General features: G+C 35.4%; 1 protein-coding gene across 5 annotated transcripts in view; it reads left to right on the forward strand.

Annotated features, from left to right (window-relative positions):
* The window catches only part of CPED1 (cadherin like and PC-esterase domain containing 1), a 308,732-nt gene that overhangs the window by 22,135 nt on the left and 266,850 nt on the right, over nt 1–19,747 (forward strand). For 4 of the 5 annotated variants that reach the window (NM_024913.5, XM_047420856.1, XM_047420857.1 and 1 more), the window contains one exon: nt 4,820–5,003. The exons of the other annotated variant lie outside the window; for it this stretch is intronic. In NM_024913.5, the coding sequence (NP_079189.4) occupies nt 4,820–5,003 (184 nt within the window). The remainder of the gene's footprint in view (nt 1–4,819; nt 5,004–19,747) is intronic. 5 annotated transcript variants of the gene reach the window in all.

Below are 19,747 nucleotides of genomic sequence, written 5' to 3' on the forward strand. Positions count from 1 at the left end.
ACCTGTGGTCCCTAAAGTGTCCTGCAATTATAACATAAGTTTTAAATAGAAAATGTATATGATATAGATCCTAGAAAATTCCTTCCATTTACTTCTTACATTCCCTAAAATAAGAGTACATTTCACCAGTGGGGAAAAGAATCTGTATTTTATTCTTACAGTGCAAAAATGAACACATAATTCACTATGATAGACTCTATAATATTTCTAAAATGCCAAAATCTGGACCAGGAAGGCAATTTAACTTTTAGTCATATATAACACACATCCAAAGTCTACTATATGAGTTGTATTTGAACATCAAAAGATGTCATAAATACATGGCTACTTTAATAAATCCAGAAAAAAATCTTTCTGCTATGTGAAAAAAAAAACAAGTTTTATTTTTCAGCCTTACTATATTTTGAAGAGCTATATTTCTTGGCTTCACGGTAAGTCTTAGTAAAGATTTTTAAATGTGTAAGTAACTGAGAAATATAGTACTTTTATAAAGTAGCTCTTTATTCAATTTTTACTGTAAATTCATTATTTTGCTTAAATATTTAACTCTATATTTGTCATTCTTGCTAGTATTTACAATTCTATTGAAATAAATTTGTTAATACAAGTCTTAACCACTTTCTGTTCCCAGTCTTCCATGGCTGTATTTATAACAAAGACTTCTACACATTGAAGGAAAAGATGTTTGTATTCACTCATTCAAAGAATATTTATTATGTGTCTCTTATATGCCAAGTACTGTTTTTAGGCTGGGAAAGCAAAAGTGAACAAAATGGTCAAAAACATGTGCTTTCATTTAGCTTCCATCCTGGTATGGAGAGACAGAAAATAAACATAAGTTTCCAAGATATGGGAGGCCCAGGAAAAAAATCAAATAAATTTAATAAGTAAACAAATTATATTTATGCATTAAAACATAATCGCTCCTGTAGAGGAAAACATATATCAGGTATATGGAATCATACACATTATTGCAAAAATGCTTTTTAGGACATAGATCAAACCAAATTAATTGAAAGGCTTATGGAATTTCGAATATAAAGTTACAATATAATATTATTACTCAGTTTTATTTACATATATTTAACATAATTTATTGGTGAGACACCACGTTGGACCCTTTCATATTGAAAATTCATTTAATTCCCAATACAACCTCATATAGTAGGATTTGTTACTTCATTTACACATGTGAGAAAACTCTGATGTGTGTAGATTAATTAATTTAGCTCAGTAGATGAAGCAAGCAAGTGATGGGGCCAGAATTCAAATCCAGATTTTTGATTCCCAATCTTCTCTTTTTACTCTACTTTGCTGCATCCAATGCTCCCAGTACTTTATGACAACATTCTGTCCTTTGCTTTATCTCAGATGGCATAAAGTTTTCAGATTTTGACATCCTTTCAGTAAAAATAAAAAGTGTCCAGTTATAAAACAACTTTTATGTAGTCTAGCAAAGGGATTTCTAAGGAAATATTTTGCAACTCTCTCAAGATGAGAGAGAGGCAAGTGAACACTCAGAATTAACATTATGTAACACTCATTCTTTTCTAAATTCTGGGCCAGCAGTGTTGTGTCAAGTGAAGTTGTTGTAGTGGTGGCCAGGTGAAATGTATTCTCTTCCATTAAAAATATACCTTTGGAATTGTGGGAATAATCAGGACCTCTTATTTCTAAAAGTGCTGCTATTAGCATTTGATGATCTCGCACTTGCTAGTGCGGTTGACATAATTGTTCACATCGTTTTAATTTCACATACGCAATGTGTGCACCTGTTGTCAGACCGGCTAAAACTGTTCTTGCCCTTTGGTATTGGGCCATTCTGCTGATACAGTGTGTTATAAATATGACAAGGACAGCAGCAGTTTGTATTACAGGATAATACAACGTAATTCTACTGACAAGCTCATTTCCTATTTACTCTCTATAGTCTGAGATGTGGGTTAAAATTTCAGTCTATGCTATGATGGTTATTACCAAATATGGCCAATAATTAAACTTTATTTAGAATATGCCTTCTACAGGGTATATTAGTAAAAGTTACATTGTTCTTGCTTAAATTGATCTTGACTGGGGGAAAAGAGGATGGTATCTTTCAAAATAAAAACTACTCAAAGTTTTAAAATATCCCTTCCTTGTGTGAAATCCCTTTTGTACTTGAGCCAGCTGTAATAGAGAGGAGCATCCTGTGATTACAGAAGAAAATGTGACATGGGGATTCTGGATACAGTGGGTTTGCTTGAGTGACACCGATATATTGGGAAGCATCTGTCTTCCCCTTTCACCTAGACACTTGTTTGTTTACTTTGGCTTTCTACAGGCTACTCAGTTCCCTCTAACTCCTGTGTCCAAAGGCTCAATGTGTATTTGGTTTCAAACACTCCTTATAAATGTATTATTGCTAACATTTATAACAATGGGGGAGAATCGTGTCCCAACTTTCTCTTAAATTGTTGCATTTAAATGGTTTTCTCATCAATAAAGCACAGTGTGTTTTAACAAAGGAAAATATCTAATCAATCTTGTTCTCCCAAAGTAGCACATACAGAAGGTATGATTAGCTACAGTTCTATTCTTTTTCATTATGTTCATCACACATATAGAAAGCTACTATGTTAACATGTGCCAGGCAGAGCACAAACTCACAAGCAGTTTTTCCAGACTCATTGTTCTTTGTGATATATTATTATTAACATATAATACCTCATAGCGCCTCCTACATAGCAGGCATGGTCCTGAGCACTTTACAAGTATTAACTGTCTAATCTTCATAGCACCTTAAGAGGAAAGTATTGTCTGAAGTCACACAAATAATGCTGGTGCAGCCAGGTGATTTGAATCCAGCAGTTTAGATGCAGAGTTTGTGTCCTCCTGAACTACTCTATGCTCTGTCTATGAATTTTCAGCTAGCAATAGTTTGTGTGCAATAAAAAAATAGGATATGGTTCCTGTCCTCAAAGGATTTACAATCTAACCCTGTTTCTTCTTTCTTTCAACATGCATCTTCAAAGATTTTGATAGGTGCTATAATTCATTAATTTACTAAATATCTTCATTTATTAAGCATGTACCATATATCATGTCTTGGGATAGACATTTGAGAGACATGAACAATGCAGGCCTGGCTGTTAAAGGGCTGATATGCGAAAAATGTAATTTCCTTTCGTGAGTGCTAATGAAAGTATGCATTTCAATTAAAAATTTCCGTAAGAGATAATGTTTGACTATTGAGAGTTGATTTGGAATTTGATAAGTGAAATAACGAAAAGAGGAAGGAATTGTAGGTGGAAGGAATAGTGATGTATAAAGGAGCAGGTTGTGGGTCAGGGATAAAGATGATTAAGAGTGTGATGTGATCTGACCAGAGAAGGAAGGCAGGGTATATGTTAAATGATCTTGTGTTCCTTAATAAAGATGTAGAATTGGGCCGGGTGCGGTGGCTCACGCCTGTAATCCCAGCACTTCGGGAGGCCGAGGTGGGCGGATCACGAGGTCAGGAGATCAAGACCATCCTGGCTAACAAGGTGAAACCCCATCTCTACTAAAAATACAAAAATTAGCCAGGCGTGGTGGCGGGTGCCTGTAGTCCCAGCTACTTGGGAGGCTGAGGCAGGAGAATTGTGTGAACCTGGGAGGCAGAGTTGCAGTGAGCCGAGATTGCACCACTGCACTCCAGCCTGGGCGACAGAGCGAGACTTTGTCTCAAAAAAAAAAAATAATAATAATAATAATAAAATAAAATAAATGATGTAGAATTGATTCTATCAGTATGGGAAATAATGAAGACATTTAAGTGCTGAAAATCATGGCATTCACAACATTAAAAAGAGTGTATTTTAGGTTAATAAAATGGACAGGTTGACTCACAGCTGTCATTGCAAGTAATTTAGATTCCCAATTGTGTTTTTTACCAAGTCCCCCTCATCTTCTCCACCACCTCCTTTGGCTCCTCTTGTTCAGCCTCTCTCCTGGTTTTTGCTGACCTCCAACCAATCTCATCACTCCTTCTAGTAATAAAAATCATCTGTACTTTACTGAGGTTTAATCTCAAGTTTTCAGAAAAAACTGAGTGTCTGCCTTTAAGCCTTATAATGAATTTAAATTTCAGCCTTCTTTTTCCTTGTCAATTCAAAAATCCCCTTTGTTATTAGAATTTCAATTTCCATTGTGAGAAAGAGGAATATTTATATGAAAGAGCAATAAACTATTGAGGGAATAACGTAGAATTATGATACTTCAGTAGTTCTCCTCTCCTCACATGTGAAGACCCATTCTACCTCACTGAGATGCATTCCAGTTTTGCTACAGCCTAATTGAGAGAAACTGCAGCACTGTTTATCTACAAAGAGCTCTGGATTGCTTCTCACCTCGACCCCTTCCTGACCATGTCCTTTCAGTACAAAACCCATCCTCTCTGAGTGTTTTCTCTACTATATTTACCTAAAAGAGCTATTAAAAGATAATGCAGTTAGAACTACTTTATAAAAGCACAGTGCAGATTAAAGGCATTGCTATTAATTTGTATTTTCAGCTAGAGTTGAGCTCTGTATTTCTATGCATCAGTATTCCTCCAAGGACCTCTATATTTTATGGCCTAAAATTTTCATCTTTCTGTTACAGTGAGGACAATTCAGTTGACCTTCAGTTCTTGCATATGAGGTCATCTTTGTCCTTGTCAGCCTTTCAGAGAAACTGCCTTTCACTTCTAGAGAAAAACTTTAGAATAACTTCCCAAATAGCCCTTGATTTGCATTCATGATGTCCTTCAAGGGAAATGTACTACTTTTTTATATTGAATTTTTATGCCTTCTTTTCTTAGGTCAAAGAATCAATGGAGACACACTTTGGCAGCCATGGCCGAAGGGCCATACTCTACAGGCCTCCTTTCTACAGCAAAACAGAGCTTCAGCTACACCAGCACATTCTGACTCAACATGGCTATACGGTTGTCATCGCTGAAGAAAGGCTCAATGCTGGCCTAGGGCCGGGGCTACTAGAACAAGGTCAGAATAGTGAGAAGTAACTGCCAAAGTCACTTGACATATAATGTTGAACAATTTCTAGAATGTGCTACTATCTCCCTCTAAAAAAATTTATAAAAACAAATATTTATCCATGACCAACTTTCTCACATCATAGAAAACTTATCTCTTTTTTTTAACTTCCCCTCTATTTTTCTTTAACTGTGTCTCTTTATTCCTGAAATTATTTCATTTATATTTTTGTAGCATTTTGGAGTTGTATAGTTCATGTTTAAATGCTACATAAAATATGTTCATGTTTATGAGACTGAATACATGTTCTGCCCCGCACCCAAACTGCTTCATATTTTAAGAAAATTGCAGCTTCATCTGACTGCAAGTAGAATGTGCTGGAAATTGTTTCCAGAAGCCAGCTTAAATGTGATTCACAGATTGGCTCTAAATAGGAAAGAAGTATGGATATTGATCATATGTACCATTAGTATATTATTTCTGTCATTTGGAGAGAATAATAAAAGACAAGTTTTTAAACAAGTTATTTGCAAAGAAAGTTGAGTAAATAATGAGAGTCAAAAGGGCAATAACAATAAGACCTAACGTTTCTTGAACAAGTAACTGTGGCAGATTCCATGCTATATTCTGTATTCATGGTCACATTTAACTTACACTATAGCTGCCAAGCATCCTAAGATTAAGAAATATTAATTCCAACCCCTAACCCAGATTGCAGAAAAGGAAACTGAGGCCTTACTGGCTGAAGTGACTCACCTCGCATCTTACATCTGGTGTGAGGGATGGACAGATGGTGATACCTGTGTTTCAACTCTCACTTTCTCTGCTCTGGCTTTTTACCTCTTTGATACTTCAATCTCTCCTTTAGTCCATAATCCTGCACTTACCTATCATTTTGAGAGCTACAATAATGTAGAACCCTCATTCAGAATAAGCAAATCAGATTTTTCTCTTTATGATTGTACAATATATCTATTTTCCTATTTATTAAAAGGGGAGGAGGAGAAGCAATTTGAGTTAAGTGCTCTCAGCCATTGGTTCCTTTGGGGGAGAAGAGTCAGATCCTGGTATTACAGTAGCTTTCAGAATGATCTTGCCATCATCACAGCACTCCTTCAGTTAGGTGCCCCCTTGCTGGTTTGTGCTGGCGAATGAATGAAAGCAAGTTGGGAAGATGTTTCTGAGAAGGTTGGGGGACTATTTAGCCATGGCTATCCTTTATCACATTGGCAGTGAAACTGTGAGCTACTTAGAAGAAACTCTGAGGGAACAGAGCCCAGAAGATCTGCTTTGATGAGAAGAAAGAAGGTCTTAAAATACGCAGAGCCTGGATCATGGGGACACAGGCATTTGTTTATTCTATTTAGTCATCACTGCCTTCTAGGAGTAGTGTGGAAATCTAAAGCACTGAGCTTCTGGGAGCAAATGAGGAAAAGAAAACAAAATAGGAAAGCTCTGGAGTATTATGGAGATCTGAAAAGAAACTTTGCAAACCTTATATTTTCACTGGTGTTGGCTCTATTATGTAAGACCAATCTAGAGTCCTGGGATACCCATAAATGATACTTAGAAACCTATTTATCAGAATAGCTATTAGTATAAAGAAAAAAATATGAAATGTTTAATATTTCTTTCATTCAACAAAATATTTCATCCCATCACTAAAGGGGTGATTGTATAACTACTGCACACTGCCATGGGACCCATGCTCTTGGAGCCGTGCAGAATGGCCCTGATAACATGCTACTGTTTTCTAAAATTCCTATATTTCCCTGCCTTCTTGTTGCTGCTACTGACTTTCTATGGGCACAACATGGATTATCTGTACATTTCAACTTGAATTTAACTTTAGTTTTCTATTTTCTCCAGCTGCAAAACAGATGGATTATATCTCCTCTTTCCCTTGATGTTCTTGGGTCAGTTTTACCACAAAAAGGAGAATTACTCTGCAGCTTCCAAATATCAAGGAAGTGCAAAAACAGCCTGAAGGCAATAGAATATGGCAGCCAAAGGAACTGCTGGGCCCAGCGGCATAAGATAACTATATAGTGTCCCTAGAATTTGTCAGTGTAAATGCTGATTTGGTTTCCTTTTCCCACATTCCCACAGCTTTTAAAACATCTAAATCCTACCTCTGTCTTGGCATTCTTTTACTGTGTATAATAAGATATTATTACTGGACAGGTCTCAAGAAAGGGTAGCAATTTCACAATTTCATGAGTATGGAACATTGATTTTTGTTTTTTTATTTGATTTTGTAGTTTTTACTATGAGAACAATATGCATCAAATACCTGAAATTTTTTTTAAAAAAGAGTTGTGACTATAATCTAACATTTCCTTGATGATTTATTGTATAAAAAGAAAACATTTTTATTGCAGCCTATTTTCCATGCCACAAATTTAATCTATAAATTATGTTTGAATTGAGGCACTTGCTACAAAACAATATTTCCTAGAAATGTGATTCTTACAGAATTTGTTTTGCTTTAGTTTCACATATTCATCTCATGGTTATTTTTACCATGTGTATATCAACAGAGAATATGAAACTATAGTGGGAATATTTAAATGAAACCTTCCCAAGTTGAGCAGCCTGGGGGAAGAGGAAACAATTTAGAATAATCCAGAACCCTACTCCACTTCCTTTTACCACAGCATTTTCTGCTGTTTACTAACCTGCAATTTGAAAATATTACATTAAAAACAAAACAGATACTCTCACAAATGTTACTGAGTACCCAGGTGCAGTTTTGACACTTTGATAAAATGTATTTTTCATCCTAGGACAATAAATATAGAAGGTATTTTCTCTATTTCACCTATTTCACCTGCTTTCCTGTCCTTTCCTGATCCATCCCATTCTCCTCTAAAATCTACTTAGAGTAGATTCTATCATTGGATCCGAATTATTTATGTATACTTGAAGAGTAGTACATATTTAGCAATTTTCTGTCAATTTCTGAATACATATTGCACTTTCAAATTATGCACGTTATAATCCACACGAAAAACAAAATGCAAACCTGCAATCAAACTACAGAATTAAAGTCACTCACTTTGCACCATCCTTTGAAGGACACATGGCCCCTTTCCAGCTTGGAGTCATTCTTTTTTAACCTTTTGAGTAACATAATAGGATAAAAATCAGCAAAACTAAAATGGTCATAAGCCAGATAGGAAATACTCCACTATTAAATATAATATTTACTGGTAGAGTAACTTTGAGTTTTGTATTTGATTTAGTTTTCCTATGACTTATATACTAGACACTTATTGAAAAGGAAGAAGTAGGCAGTTTCGAGTCCTACATTAGAATATGGGTGTTATGTCACCCCACCCACTGGTTAATTCCTTTCTAGTGACATAAGAGAAGTTGATGTCTCTATTGGGAGAGATTTTAGGGCTATGAACATATGACTTACGCAAGTTAAGTTCTCTGAGCCCTAGTTCTTTTATCTGTTAAAGGCATTAATTGTTCTTAACTTCAGAGTAGTATGTGGTGGGGATTGAATCACTTTGTCCAAACTTATCAGAGTTCTAGAAGGAGACAAAGTAAAGTCCAGTCAGTGTTTTATCTCATGCAGTAGCCAGAGAAAGCGACCCAGGATTTTACATGTTAAAAACAGCCACAAGTAATTCTTATGTGTAGCCCAGTTTGGGAAGCACTGTTCTGAGGGACATATTATTGGTTCAAAGAGTAACAATTTTTAGAGTTAATTTTGGGAATAAAACAATGCAACAGTCTGCTTGCTATTATGCTATTACATTGCCTATGATTTAACTGCATAGATATTTACAAACAGCATTTCATCTTTAAACTGATTTTGAGAACAGTATGAGAACAATTGTCTTTACAGATTTAGGCCTACAGAACTTAGCAGAGTAAACATATGCACTATTATGGTTCTCCCATCCCTTGCTTTGGAAAAATATATCTTATGCCCCTGCATTTGTGAGAACATATAATTCTCTAAAGGAGAATTCCTTCTCTAAAGGAAAAGATAGAAGCACCATTCAATTATTTTGTTTCCTATCATGTAAGTGCTGTTTAGTAAATCAATGCTTCAGTGCACAGTGGCCTAAAAAGGAAAGTTTTAATCCTACTCCAGTGGTAAAATCCAAGTAGTATGTCATCAAGGACTCTGACTTAGAGTAGATTTTATCATTGGATCAGAATCATTTATGTATACTTGAAGAGTAGTGGATATTTGGCAATTTTCTGTCAATTTCTGAACACATATTGTATTGAAAAGGATATACAAATAAACAAATTATGTATATTATAATCCATGTGAAAAACAAAATGCAAACCTGCAAGCAAGCTACAGAATTAAAGTCAGTCTTGCAGTTTAAAATTGCTCTTGTTTTTATAACTTGAGGGTTTAACATAGAATGTTTTTTGAAGAAACACAGAAAGTAAAAGACCATATAGATATCCTTGCCAAGGGCTGGCAAACTATAGTCCACTGGCTAAATCTGGCCCACCGCCTGTTTTTGTAAATAAAGTTTTATTAGAACACTGCCACTCTCCTCTGCTTTTGTATTGCCTTTGGCAGCATTTGTTTTACAAAGGCAGAGTTGATTAATTGCAACAGAGTCTGTATGGCTTTTAAAGCCTAAAATTTTTATTATTAGGTCCTTTACAGAAAAAAGTTTCCTGGCTCCTGTATCCAGAATAAGCCTATGTAACTTGATGTCATACCAAGTTGATGATTCAACTCTAGGACTGAGATGTTTCATTTTTTAACTTACACCAAATCTTATTCAAAAAGGATTTGAAGGTTTACAATAAAATATATAATAACAAAATTAATAAAATGTACATATAAAATTAAGCACCAAACTGGTTATTCCACTTAGCTACTATAATTTAGGCTTAGTTTTGTCTGTGAGCCTCCAAGCACCTAGAACAATGAGAGAAATAATAGAAGTTTTACTCTCAGGAAGAAGGAACCATTATGATTCATCCCCCTAACTTCCCACATGCTCAAATGAGAAATTTAAAACAATTTTTTCAAAGGGAGTATTGAGTAAACAACAGTAAGTTATGCAATGGGTCAAAAGCCAGAGCAACATTTGTATTGGAAATAAAGTAGATGTCATATCTTGGTTCATATAGCAACATTCTAATATGAGTTGAGAGTATAACATTACAGCATGATATAGCAAAGACATTTCCATAAGGGGCTAGAGTTAATACTACAATAAATAGTATTTATTGGAATTTGTATTGAAATTAAACTTGATACAGTGTGTTCTGGAGAGTAGTATTTAAATGATGCTGCTTCACAGCTTTTCAACTCCTAATAAGGACACTCTTATTTACCCACATGTGTTCTTGGGAAATACTATTAAAAGATATAGTTAATAGAGCAAGAGATACAGATCACTACTTAATGTTGTGGAAAATATAAAAAGGAAGATCTATTTCCTTCCTTGTTTATAATTTAATAGATTTCTATCTTCCTATGTTTTATTTACATTCACTTGCACTTTAAAGAATGTCCAACATCAGTATATCACTTGATATTTAGTATAATTTTGAAGGTTATTTATAGTGGCTACTTGCCAAAAGCTGTTTCTGTAGTTTGTATAGAAAAGAAACATCCACGACAGATCAATCTTAACCTTTGTAATGGAAAACATATTTCACATTTTTCTTTTTATTTGTAATAAAAAAGAAGCTATAAGGAAGTCGAGCTTTAAATTGCCCATAAGTAAGACGAGCTTAACCACAATAATAACTTTCTTGGGGAGGTAGTAGGCTTTGGAAATTAAAAAGTATAAGCATTGAAGTAAGACAGAACCTAGGTTGGAGTCCTTAGTGTTACCTTTTAATGGTTACATAACCCTGGGCAAGTAACTTATCCTCTGAAAGTCTTGGTATTCTCATCTACAAGTTGATCCTTTTGAGGTTGTTTTAAGAATGGTACATAGTAATCACCCCATAAACGGGAGATAATATTGTTACTGCTGTCAAGAAGTAGTTACAGAAAGGAGAATATGACATTTCCCCTGTAGGGAGGTGTATTTAAAATATGCAGTAGTGTAAGAGTGCTGCTGTTGGATGTTATTATGGGTAAAATGAACTTGATAGGTGTTTTTCAATTTAGCCTTCTCGACTTATATGTTCTCATTAGAAGGTCTGGGTTGTAAATCCTCCTGAAATTCTGACATACTCTCCTGGATTATTCCCTTGGAAAAATCTCACATTAAAAAAAAAATCTGTAAGCTTCCTAAGGTCAGGGACCATGTCTTTTATGCTTATCATTTATAACCACACCTTCCACATAGGGGCATATGATAAATATTTATTAAATACATGAACAAAGGAAGATAAAATAGTACATCAATATTTGGGCTCCTTAAACAGCAAATTCACTCAGGAAACTCATATTAAACTTAGTTCATAAAACTTTTATTTTATTTGACTTTAGAGGAACACTGATATTCTATTTAGACTTAAGTCCACTCTTACACCAAAGATAATGAAACCATAAATATAGTATTACATAGGGCTGATAGTTTATACATCAAATGATTCTATACTGCTGGGGCTTTTGAGTACTTGTGTCCATTTTTAAGAATTTTACTCTTGCCTTGCTTTCAAGGCTCTCCTGTTACATTTGCCAGGTTACTTGACCTATTGATTTTGGGACAGGTTGGATGAGTTTCTTTCTATACATATTCAGTTATAGGTGCTGTGAATTTTCATAGGGATGTATTCAGCAGAAACTCAAGCAAGCAGAAATGCCAGGTCAGGAGATGTAGGTTTGTGGGTCATCTGCTGAGAGGTGATAATTGATTTACTGAAGGTTCAATAGCCTATAAAGCAGTGTGACACAGTGTTGCCTAAGGATGCTCTCTGGTAAAAGTAAGTATACAGCTTTTGCTACTCGCAAACATACAAAGCAAGAAGGAGGACAGTCAAAAACCGCGTCATATCACTTAGGTCCTATCTGCATCCTCTATATTATGCTCTGTAGTTTATTTCTTAGTGTAATGTAAGTTTTATTGGTCTTCCAGTTCTTTGCTTTGAAAAAACATATATTATGATCCAGAATTTTAATAACGTACTTCTCTAGAAAAAAAAGACACCATCAAATTATTATCTTTCCTATCATCCAGATGCTATTCAGTAAATCATTGTTTTACTTCATAGGATAGTAAGTGGCCAAAAAAAAAAAGATACATATTTTTCAAAGTTTTTAACCTGCTCCTGGGGTCAAGTCTCAGTAATATGTAGTTCAAAAGACTCTGACACAGAGTATATTTTATCATTTTGTCAGAATTATTTACGTATACTTCAAGAGGGTTTATTTCTACAGTTGCAGCAGAAGCCAGAACTGTAGCAGGAATGAGAAAACAGATTGTTCAACTGAAGAGAATATTTCTGGGAGGCCCTGTAGTAGTTGAACCAATATTTTTGTATTCCCATTGTTTAACAAGGTGCTTGAATGCAAGATTTATTTTTAGTAACTCAAGAGGGCATCACTAGGACCAGTTTATGGAAGGACATTTTATCTATCAGAGTTGTCCAGCAATAGAACAGCCCAGAACAAAAAGTAGGAAGTTTGGTTGCAACAGAAGCAACTCTGGGTTGCTGTATTATGTAGCAGAATGAGTGAAATAACCACCAAAGCTTTTTTACAACTCTACAGTTCTGTGGTACAATATAAGACTCAAACACACAGAATGAGAGAAAACAAGACAAAAATGTGAATCTCTATCATTGCAGGGATTCATTTTCTTTAGTCTTTGCTTTGTCTGGTGTTGCACGGGCAGAAGAGAGAAATAGCAGTCAAGGAAGAGGTGAGAAACACCAGTGTGGAGCAAATCTGGAGGTGGCCCTCTTGGACTAATAGTGCACATTTATAGCAGATGCTTCTGCTGGTAATTTAAGACTTGAGAGCCTAATGAACTTCTCTTCTCATTTCTTTCCCCCCTCTAGCCCCACACCAGCACCCTACTGCTTTCCTGAGTTTAATATGCTCTATGACTATTTAGCAGGAAGACAAAAGAGTAAAGGTCACATTTAAAAGGCACTGTGTGTTTTGCCTTGCCGGTGTTTTGCCTAGAACACGTTTGACATACGTTTTTCATTATGCAAGTAATAGGCTTTGGACGGTATCAGAAGTGCTTCTGTACTTTATTTAGTTAATCAAACTGGGGGGAAAAAAGGAATTGAATCAAAGAAACATGTAAGACTGCACTATTCTATTTTACTGGGTTATGACACACAGTAATTGTATGCTCAGGTTTATTGTTATTTTCCTCAGTGCTTATAGATTTACTGATGTATTTACGACCAAACAGAATTCGTTCTTTAATTGGCTCACTGGAGCTCAAGGAATGTTTATTTAACCTTAACTCAGTTGAGTTGTTTAGACTACAGGGACTTCAGTTCAATTTACTTTAATTTTTGAAAAAAATTTTCTTATTTATAAAAGTTGAGCTTAGAGTGACCTCCCCATTCTGATGTTTTCTTTACCCTTCGCTGTGCACAGAGAACAAAAAGCCAGTGTCTCGTTTTTACTCCAAAGAAACTAAACTGCTTCCTTAAATGGGTTAGCTCTTACAACTGAAAATGGCAACCAGATGTTTACCAAAGTCCCTAGCATTGCCCCTTCAAGCCTAGCTTCCTTCTAATTGTTTGATCTTTTTAAGTTTCATAGAAACCAGACTGGGTATTTAAATTGTCTAAAGCTGGGAAATGTTTAAATATAACTTTGAAGATACTTTCTCTGAACTGTCTTGTTAGATGTACTTTCTTTTATTTTTAAGGAAAAATGCAGCATTGAAAATTTGATAAGTAATTTACTTCAGGTCATTGTTCTTTTTGTATGTCTTTAAAATGGAAAAAAGACTATTTTTTGAAAAGAAATTAGACATTTTTGTTTGGTTTTGCCTAAACTGTGCTTTGAATGGCAGATTTAATTTGTAAAAACACATAATATCCGAATTACATTTAGATTGAGGAAAGACTCCAGGAAAGATAAACAAACTCCTTCATACGGGAGCTTTCAAACGACAGTTTGTGGATTAACTAAAAAGGGAGTTTGGAGACTCCAGGTACAGGGTGTTTGCTACGCCAATGCATTATCCAGTTTAGCTGTTTGAAGTATTTTTGACATTTTTCTCAATTTGGGAGGCGTTTGGGAGCTTCTAACTATAGTTCCCAGACTCTTTTAATGATTGTACAACTTTTACTTTCTACTCTCAATATTATAAATATTGTTGAAACCTCCCAACTCACTTCCTTTTTAGACTTGATGTTTCCCAAAATAATTAACATTTTCCCCTGAAGGTCTTTCATCTTTTTTAGCTGAAGTTGCTTCCCTCTTACACTGTCTCTTGGTGGACTTACAAACTACCATTTGGGTAATAAAGCCTTAAGAAAAAGTAGAAATTTTTTCTTAGCAATCTCTCCCCAATTAACTGTCTATAATGACTTTCACCCCCACCTATCTCCTAAAATTGTGCCTTCACAATTTACCAAGAAACTCCTTTTTGTTAGGAAATTCAGTCACTATTAAACTGCAATATTTTTGGTATTAGAATAGATTTGGGCGTGAGTAGAATATCAGTGTTTCTCAAAAGTTATATAAATTCTATTTAAATAATGAATTAAGCATTGATGTGAATTCACTGAGGTAATTTCTCAGTTTCTTTTTTCTTACTCTAGCAGTGTTTCCCAAACTCGATGAAATGCATGAGCCGTAGTGGAATAAACACCTTGCTCGTGGTATGGGTTGGGAGTGTTCTTCCAAACCCTTTTCCCTCTTAACCTCCTGAATGATGCCTTAACCTGCATCTCCCATCTTTCAACCCCTCCTTCTTTGTGTTCTTTCTCCAAATATGGACATTCTCCAAGATATTTATCCCCAGTCATTTTTTTCCTTTTCTTGATACTCCCGTCAAGAATTTTTTGTACTCTGCAAATGCAATATCCCCCTCAGGAGATATAACCTCTAGATAAGGTTGAATCCTATCTAATTTGTCTCCTATGGGCAGAATTTGGAGAGTCAAGATTGTCCAGGTACCTGATAGATGTTTTGATTTGTGTGTCCTACCGCCTCAACATGTATAAAACACAACTGATAGTGCTATCCCGGCAGTATCTATCATTCTTGCCTGACATGTTTCTGTTGCTAGTTCCATATTCCCTCACTCTCTCAGCTCTAAAGCTCATCATCACATCCCCCGTCCCCGTTAGGAGATCACTATGATTTAGGCAGTCTTCCTTAAGCTCTGAGCGATCATTTCTTTCTTAAAAACTTGTTAATTTCAGTGATGCCAACTTTATATTTCCATTGAGCAAATGACAGTGGTATAACTGTCAAAAAAACAAACAAAAAAACAAAAACAGAGGACTTGCTTACTTAGGTGAACTGGAATCTCAAGTTTTCAAGAGAAACTGGCCTGTTCAGGGGTCTACCTGCTTCCTTACAGTTTCAGTTTCTCTTTCCTGAAATCACAACACACATCTGTCACCAAGCCCTGTAAAATGTGCATCTGCTCTGCCATGGCTCCCCTTTCCCTACAGCTGCTTTGCCTCATCCTTGTGCTATCATAGTGGCTATTAAACACTCCCCTATTGTTTTCTGCTAAACAGAACACATATTTCTTAATTAGGCATTCAATACTTCCCCTGCCATGGGGTCAGACACTTCCACATCCCTGCTATAGCCATGGTTCTCAGGCCTGTCCGCACATTCCAATTACTTAAGGAACTTAAAAATTTAAAAAGCCAATGCCCAGGTGACACTCCAGAAAATTAAATCAGAATTTTGGGGGAGGGAGACAGACCAGGACATCATTATTTAAAAAAAAAAAAAAAAAAGTTTCCCAGGTGATACTAATACATGGCTAGGGAGGATAACCATAGTAATTGGCCTGCTCACCTTTGCCTGATCACATTTCAAAGCTTTCTGCCTTGCATTGATGTTGAGGTTTTTGTTTCCTAGAGCTCCCTCCTGTCAGTTCTTTTTTTTTTTTTTTTTTTTTTTGAGACAATCTGGCTTTGTTGCCCAGGCTGGAGTGCAGTGGTGCAACCATGGCTCACTGCAGCCTTGACATCCTGGCCTCAATGGATCCTCCCACCTCAATCCCTGAGTAGCCAGCACTACAGGAGCGTGCCACCAAGCCCAGCTAATTTTTCTTATTTTTTTTTTTTTTTGTAGAGAGGGGAATCTCACTATGTTACCCAGACTGGTGTCGAACTACTGGGCTCAAGCAATTGTCCCGCCTCAGCATCTCAAAGTGCTGGGATTACAGACGTGAACCATCTCGCCTGGCTCTGTCATTTCTTAAAGTTCAAATGAATGTATGAAATCCCCCCTCAATTCTTCTCAAGCTAGAAATGGTGAACAAATTTCCTTAGACCTCATCACACATTATTCATATATCTCTGATGCCTAGGGTATGATTTGTGTCATACTTTTTGATAATTTTTATGTGTTCATCTTATCTCCCCTTTTGTATTATAAACTTCTTGTGAAGCAGGGAGTATTTCATTCATCTATTTATATGGTATTCTGCATAAAACAATGTCGTGCATATACCTAGTAGATACACAATTAAATGTATATGCAATTGAAAAAACAAACCCACAAATACACTAATAAAATAGCTGAATCTCTCCTTCAGATATTCAAGTGCCATTTTCTTCTTTGGACTTTTGGAAAAAAAATTAGTGATCTTCATAAGAAACAGCTCTATGGTACAGCAAAATGAAATGTGCTCAGGGCTGTGTCTCAGCTCAACCAACTGAGGAACAGAACTCACATCCCCCTACCCCTAGTGAAGTCTCTTTGTAACATTCTTTCAGATTTCATCAAACCAGTGACATCTCTGTTGCCAAAGAAAGAATTCCACCAACAAGTTAATTATAACCTTTAGTAATAATAATAATAATAATAATAATAATAATAATAATGAGTTTCAGCTCTTTCTCGAAGGAAAAGTAGGAAAGTCACATGTGAGTCTCACCATTTATACAACAAAATGTTCCATTTAGAGTGGGGAACTCTTGGAATTTAAAAAATCTTGTTTAACATTCCACCTCCTTATCAGAGTCACTAAACAAGCGATTAAGGGATGAGGAGAGCAGAGGCGACTCTCGGGGACCTGACTAGCTCTATATTTTATAATTATCAGAAGCTAAATGGAATCCCTGTCTGGATGTTTGCCTGAAAACATAGTTTTGGCAAAGCTCTACCATGGTACCTACTGATTTGCTAGGATGGTGATTTTCAAATTTGGCATGCGTCAGTGTTCTCTGGAAGGCTTGTTAAGTTGCAGACTGCAGATTGCTGGGCCCTACTCACAGTAGATCTGATTCAGTAAGAATGGAGAGGCAGGTTAAAAATTTGGATTTCTAACAAGTTTCCAGGTAATGGTAATATGCTGGTCCTGGGACCACGTGTTGAGAATGACTGTGCTAGTTACTTTTTTATTATGGTTTTTCAGCTTTTCTTACAGAAGCACAAAGAACTTCTGTGTATTTCCTATTTAAGTAGTTAGTAGCCAAACAATTCCTCATTTGCCTTGCCAGGACCCTGAATCAACCTTTCACTTTGGTAAGAAGCCCCACACTGAATTTGCGCAGACGCTGAACCCATTAATTATGAGTTGACTTGCAAAGTATTTGTACATGTTAGCTTCTTTACAGTCAAAGCCAATGATCTCATTTTAAAATGATAGCACAAGCAGCTGAATTTAGACTGTCTTTGGACACACCGAACTTTCTGGAAGAGAGTAGGATCAAGGCAAAAATATGAACACGTTTTATTGCACATAATAATTATAGGCCCCAAACAGAAGCAAGATGATACTGTGGAAAAAACATTGGCCTAGGTTGCATTGTCTATGTGAAACCATGTCTAAATTGCTTAATTTCTCCAGATGCTTTTCATTTGCATAAAATGGATATTTTTGGATTAAATGACCTTTAAGGTCCATTCCATTTGGAAAGTGCAAAAAGAAGTACACTAATGAATGAGAGGGATTACCTGTAAACCACCAACAAAGATAATTAATGTTGGATGTTTCTTTATAAGCTTTTATACATTTTATGCAGTTTTCTAGCTTGCTTTCTTAGCTATTAGTTTAATAGCTAATAATAATAAACCATTTTTAGCTTTATTATTATCAGAAACACATACCATAAAAACTTTGTAAACATTATTTCAATGGCTGTATAAAGTTATATTATATAAATTTATTTAATACTTCCTTAACCTAATTTACCTAATTTTTCCAACATCATTAGATAATTATATTTCCCACTGTTTTGCTGTTGTAAATAATGCAATCATAACATTATTATATGTAAATCTTTGTCCACATTCCTAATTATTTTTAGCATAGATTTCTGAAATTAAAGTTATTGGAATAAAGGGTGAGAATCATTTCTAAAGCTCTTCATTTGTGTTATCAAAATTCTATCTGAAAAGGTTAAGTCATTTCTCATCAGCTGCACAAGAAATTTCCCATAAGAAACAAATCTCTTATTTCAATAAGTGAGGCTGTTTTAAGATTGAGGACTTTACCTGTTGTTCTATGGAAGTATAGAGTGAAATTTCAAATTCATAGTTGTAGTATAAAACTGATGAACTTTCTTCTGGAAAATTGTTATTTGTGTCATATTAGAAATGCTGGGAATGCTGGAATGGCAGGCACGTTCCACAGCTATCTGAAAACTCATCCAGATAGCAAATGTATCAGGAATAATGAGGGTTTACATTTTCATTGGTGTGTTTGCTCAAATATTTCTGTTCATTATTTGTCCACTTTCAGGAGAGATAGCATATTAAGGTTAATCAGCAGCAATTTATTTTGTGTGGTACCTGAAATTTCTACTTTATAATCGTACATGACATGATTACCACATGATAAAATCGATTTTTATTTCTTGTCTTACGGAAAGAAATCCTATTATCTTGTCTTGTCACATTGAGTATTTTTAAGGCACTCTGTCTTATATCAGACATTTTGAATTTTAAAATGATCAATGTCCAGGTTAATTTTATATACATTTTCATATCTGTCTAATTTTTTTTGGCATTTTATAGTGCTTTGAAAGATACAGTGTGTAAAAGACAATTTATGTTTTAGAGAATGATGTTCCTTACCTTGATGCATAGTCTTCCTGTTTATAAAGATGTTACATGTTTATGGTGGAATAGTCAATCAAATACTGGCAAATACAAAAATAAAAGTGAAAATTACTCCAAATTCCAGAGATAACATGGTTAACAATGTTGTGCATATTTCCAGGAATCTTTTTAAGCATCACACATGCACACACAGACACACACACACGATAGACACACACATTTATGTTCTACTCTTTTACCTCCTGCCTCTTTACAAACAGTACATGATAAAAGACTTGCCATATTAACAATTTTAAACAATTAATACATTTTTAAATCAATAGTTTTAAGCTAGCCTTTATTGAGTACAGTATTCCTCCCTTATCCATGGTTTCACTTTCCGTGGTTCCAGTTACCCGTAGTCAACTGCAGTCCAAAAATATTAAATTGAAAACTCTGAAATAAATAATTTGTAAGCTTTAATTGTGCATCATTCTGAGTAGCATGAAGAAATCTCAAGCTGTCTAACTCTGTTCTGCCCCAGGACATGAATCGTCCCTTTGTCTAACATCTCCATGCTGTAGATGCCCCCTACCCTTTGAGTCACTTGGTAGCCTTCTTATTTATCAGATCGACTTTCGTCTCAGTGCTT

Source organism: Homo sapiens, chromosome 7, assembly GCF_000001405.40.
Source record: "Homo sapiens chromosome 7, GRCh38.p14 Primary Assembly".
Lineage (NCBI taxonomy): Eukaryota > Metazoa > Chordata > Mammalia > Primates > Hominidae > Homo > Homo sapiens.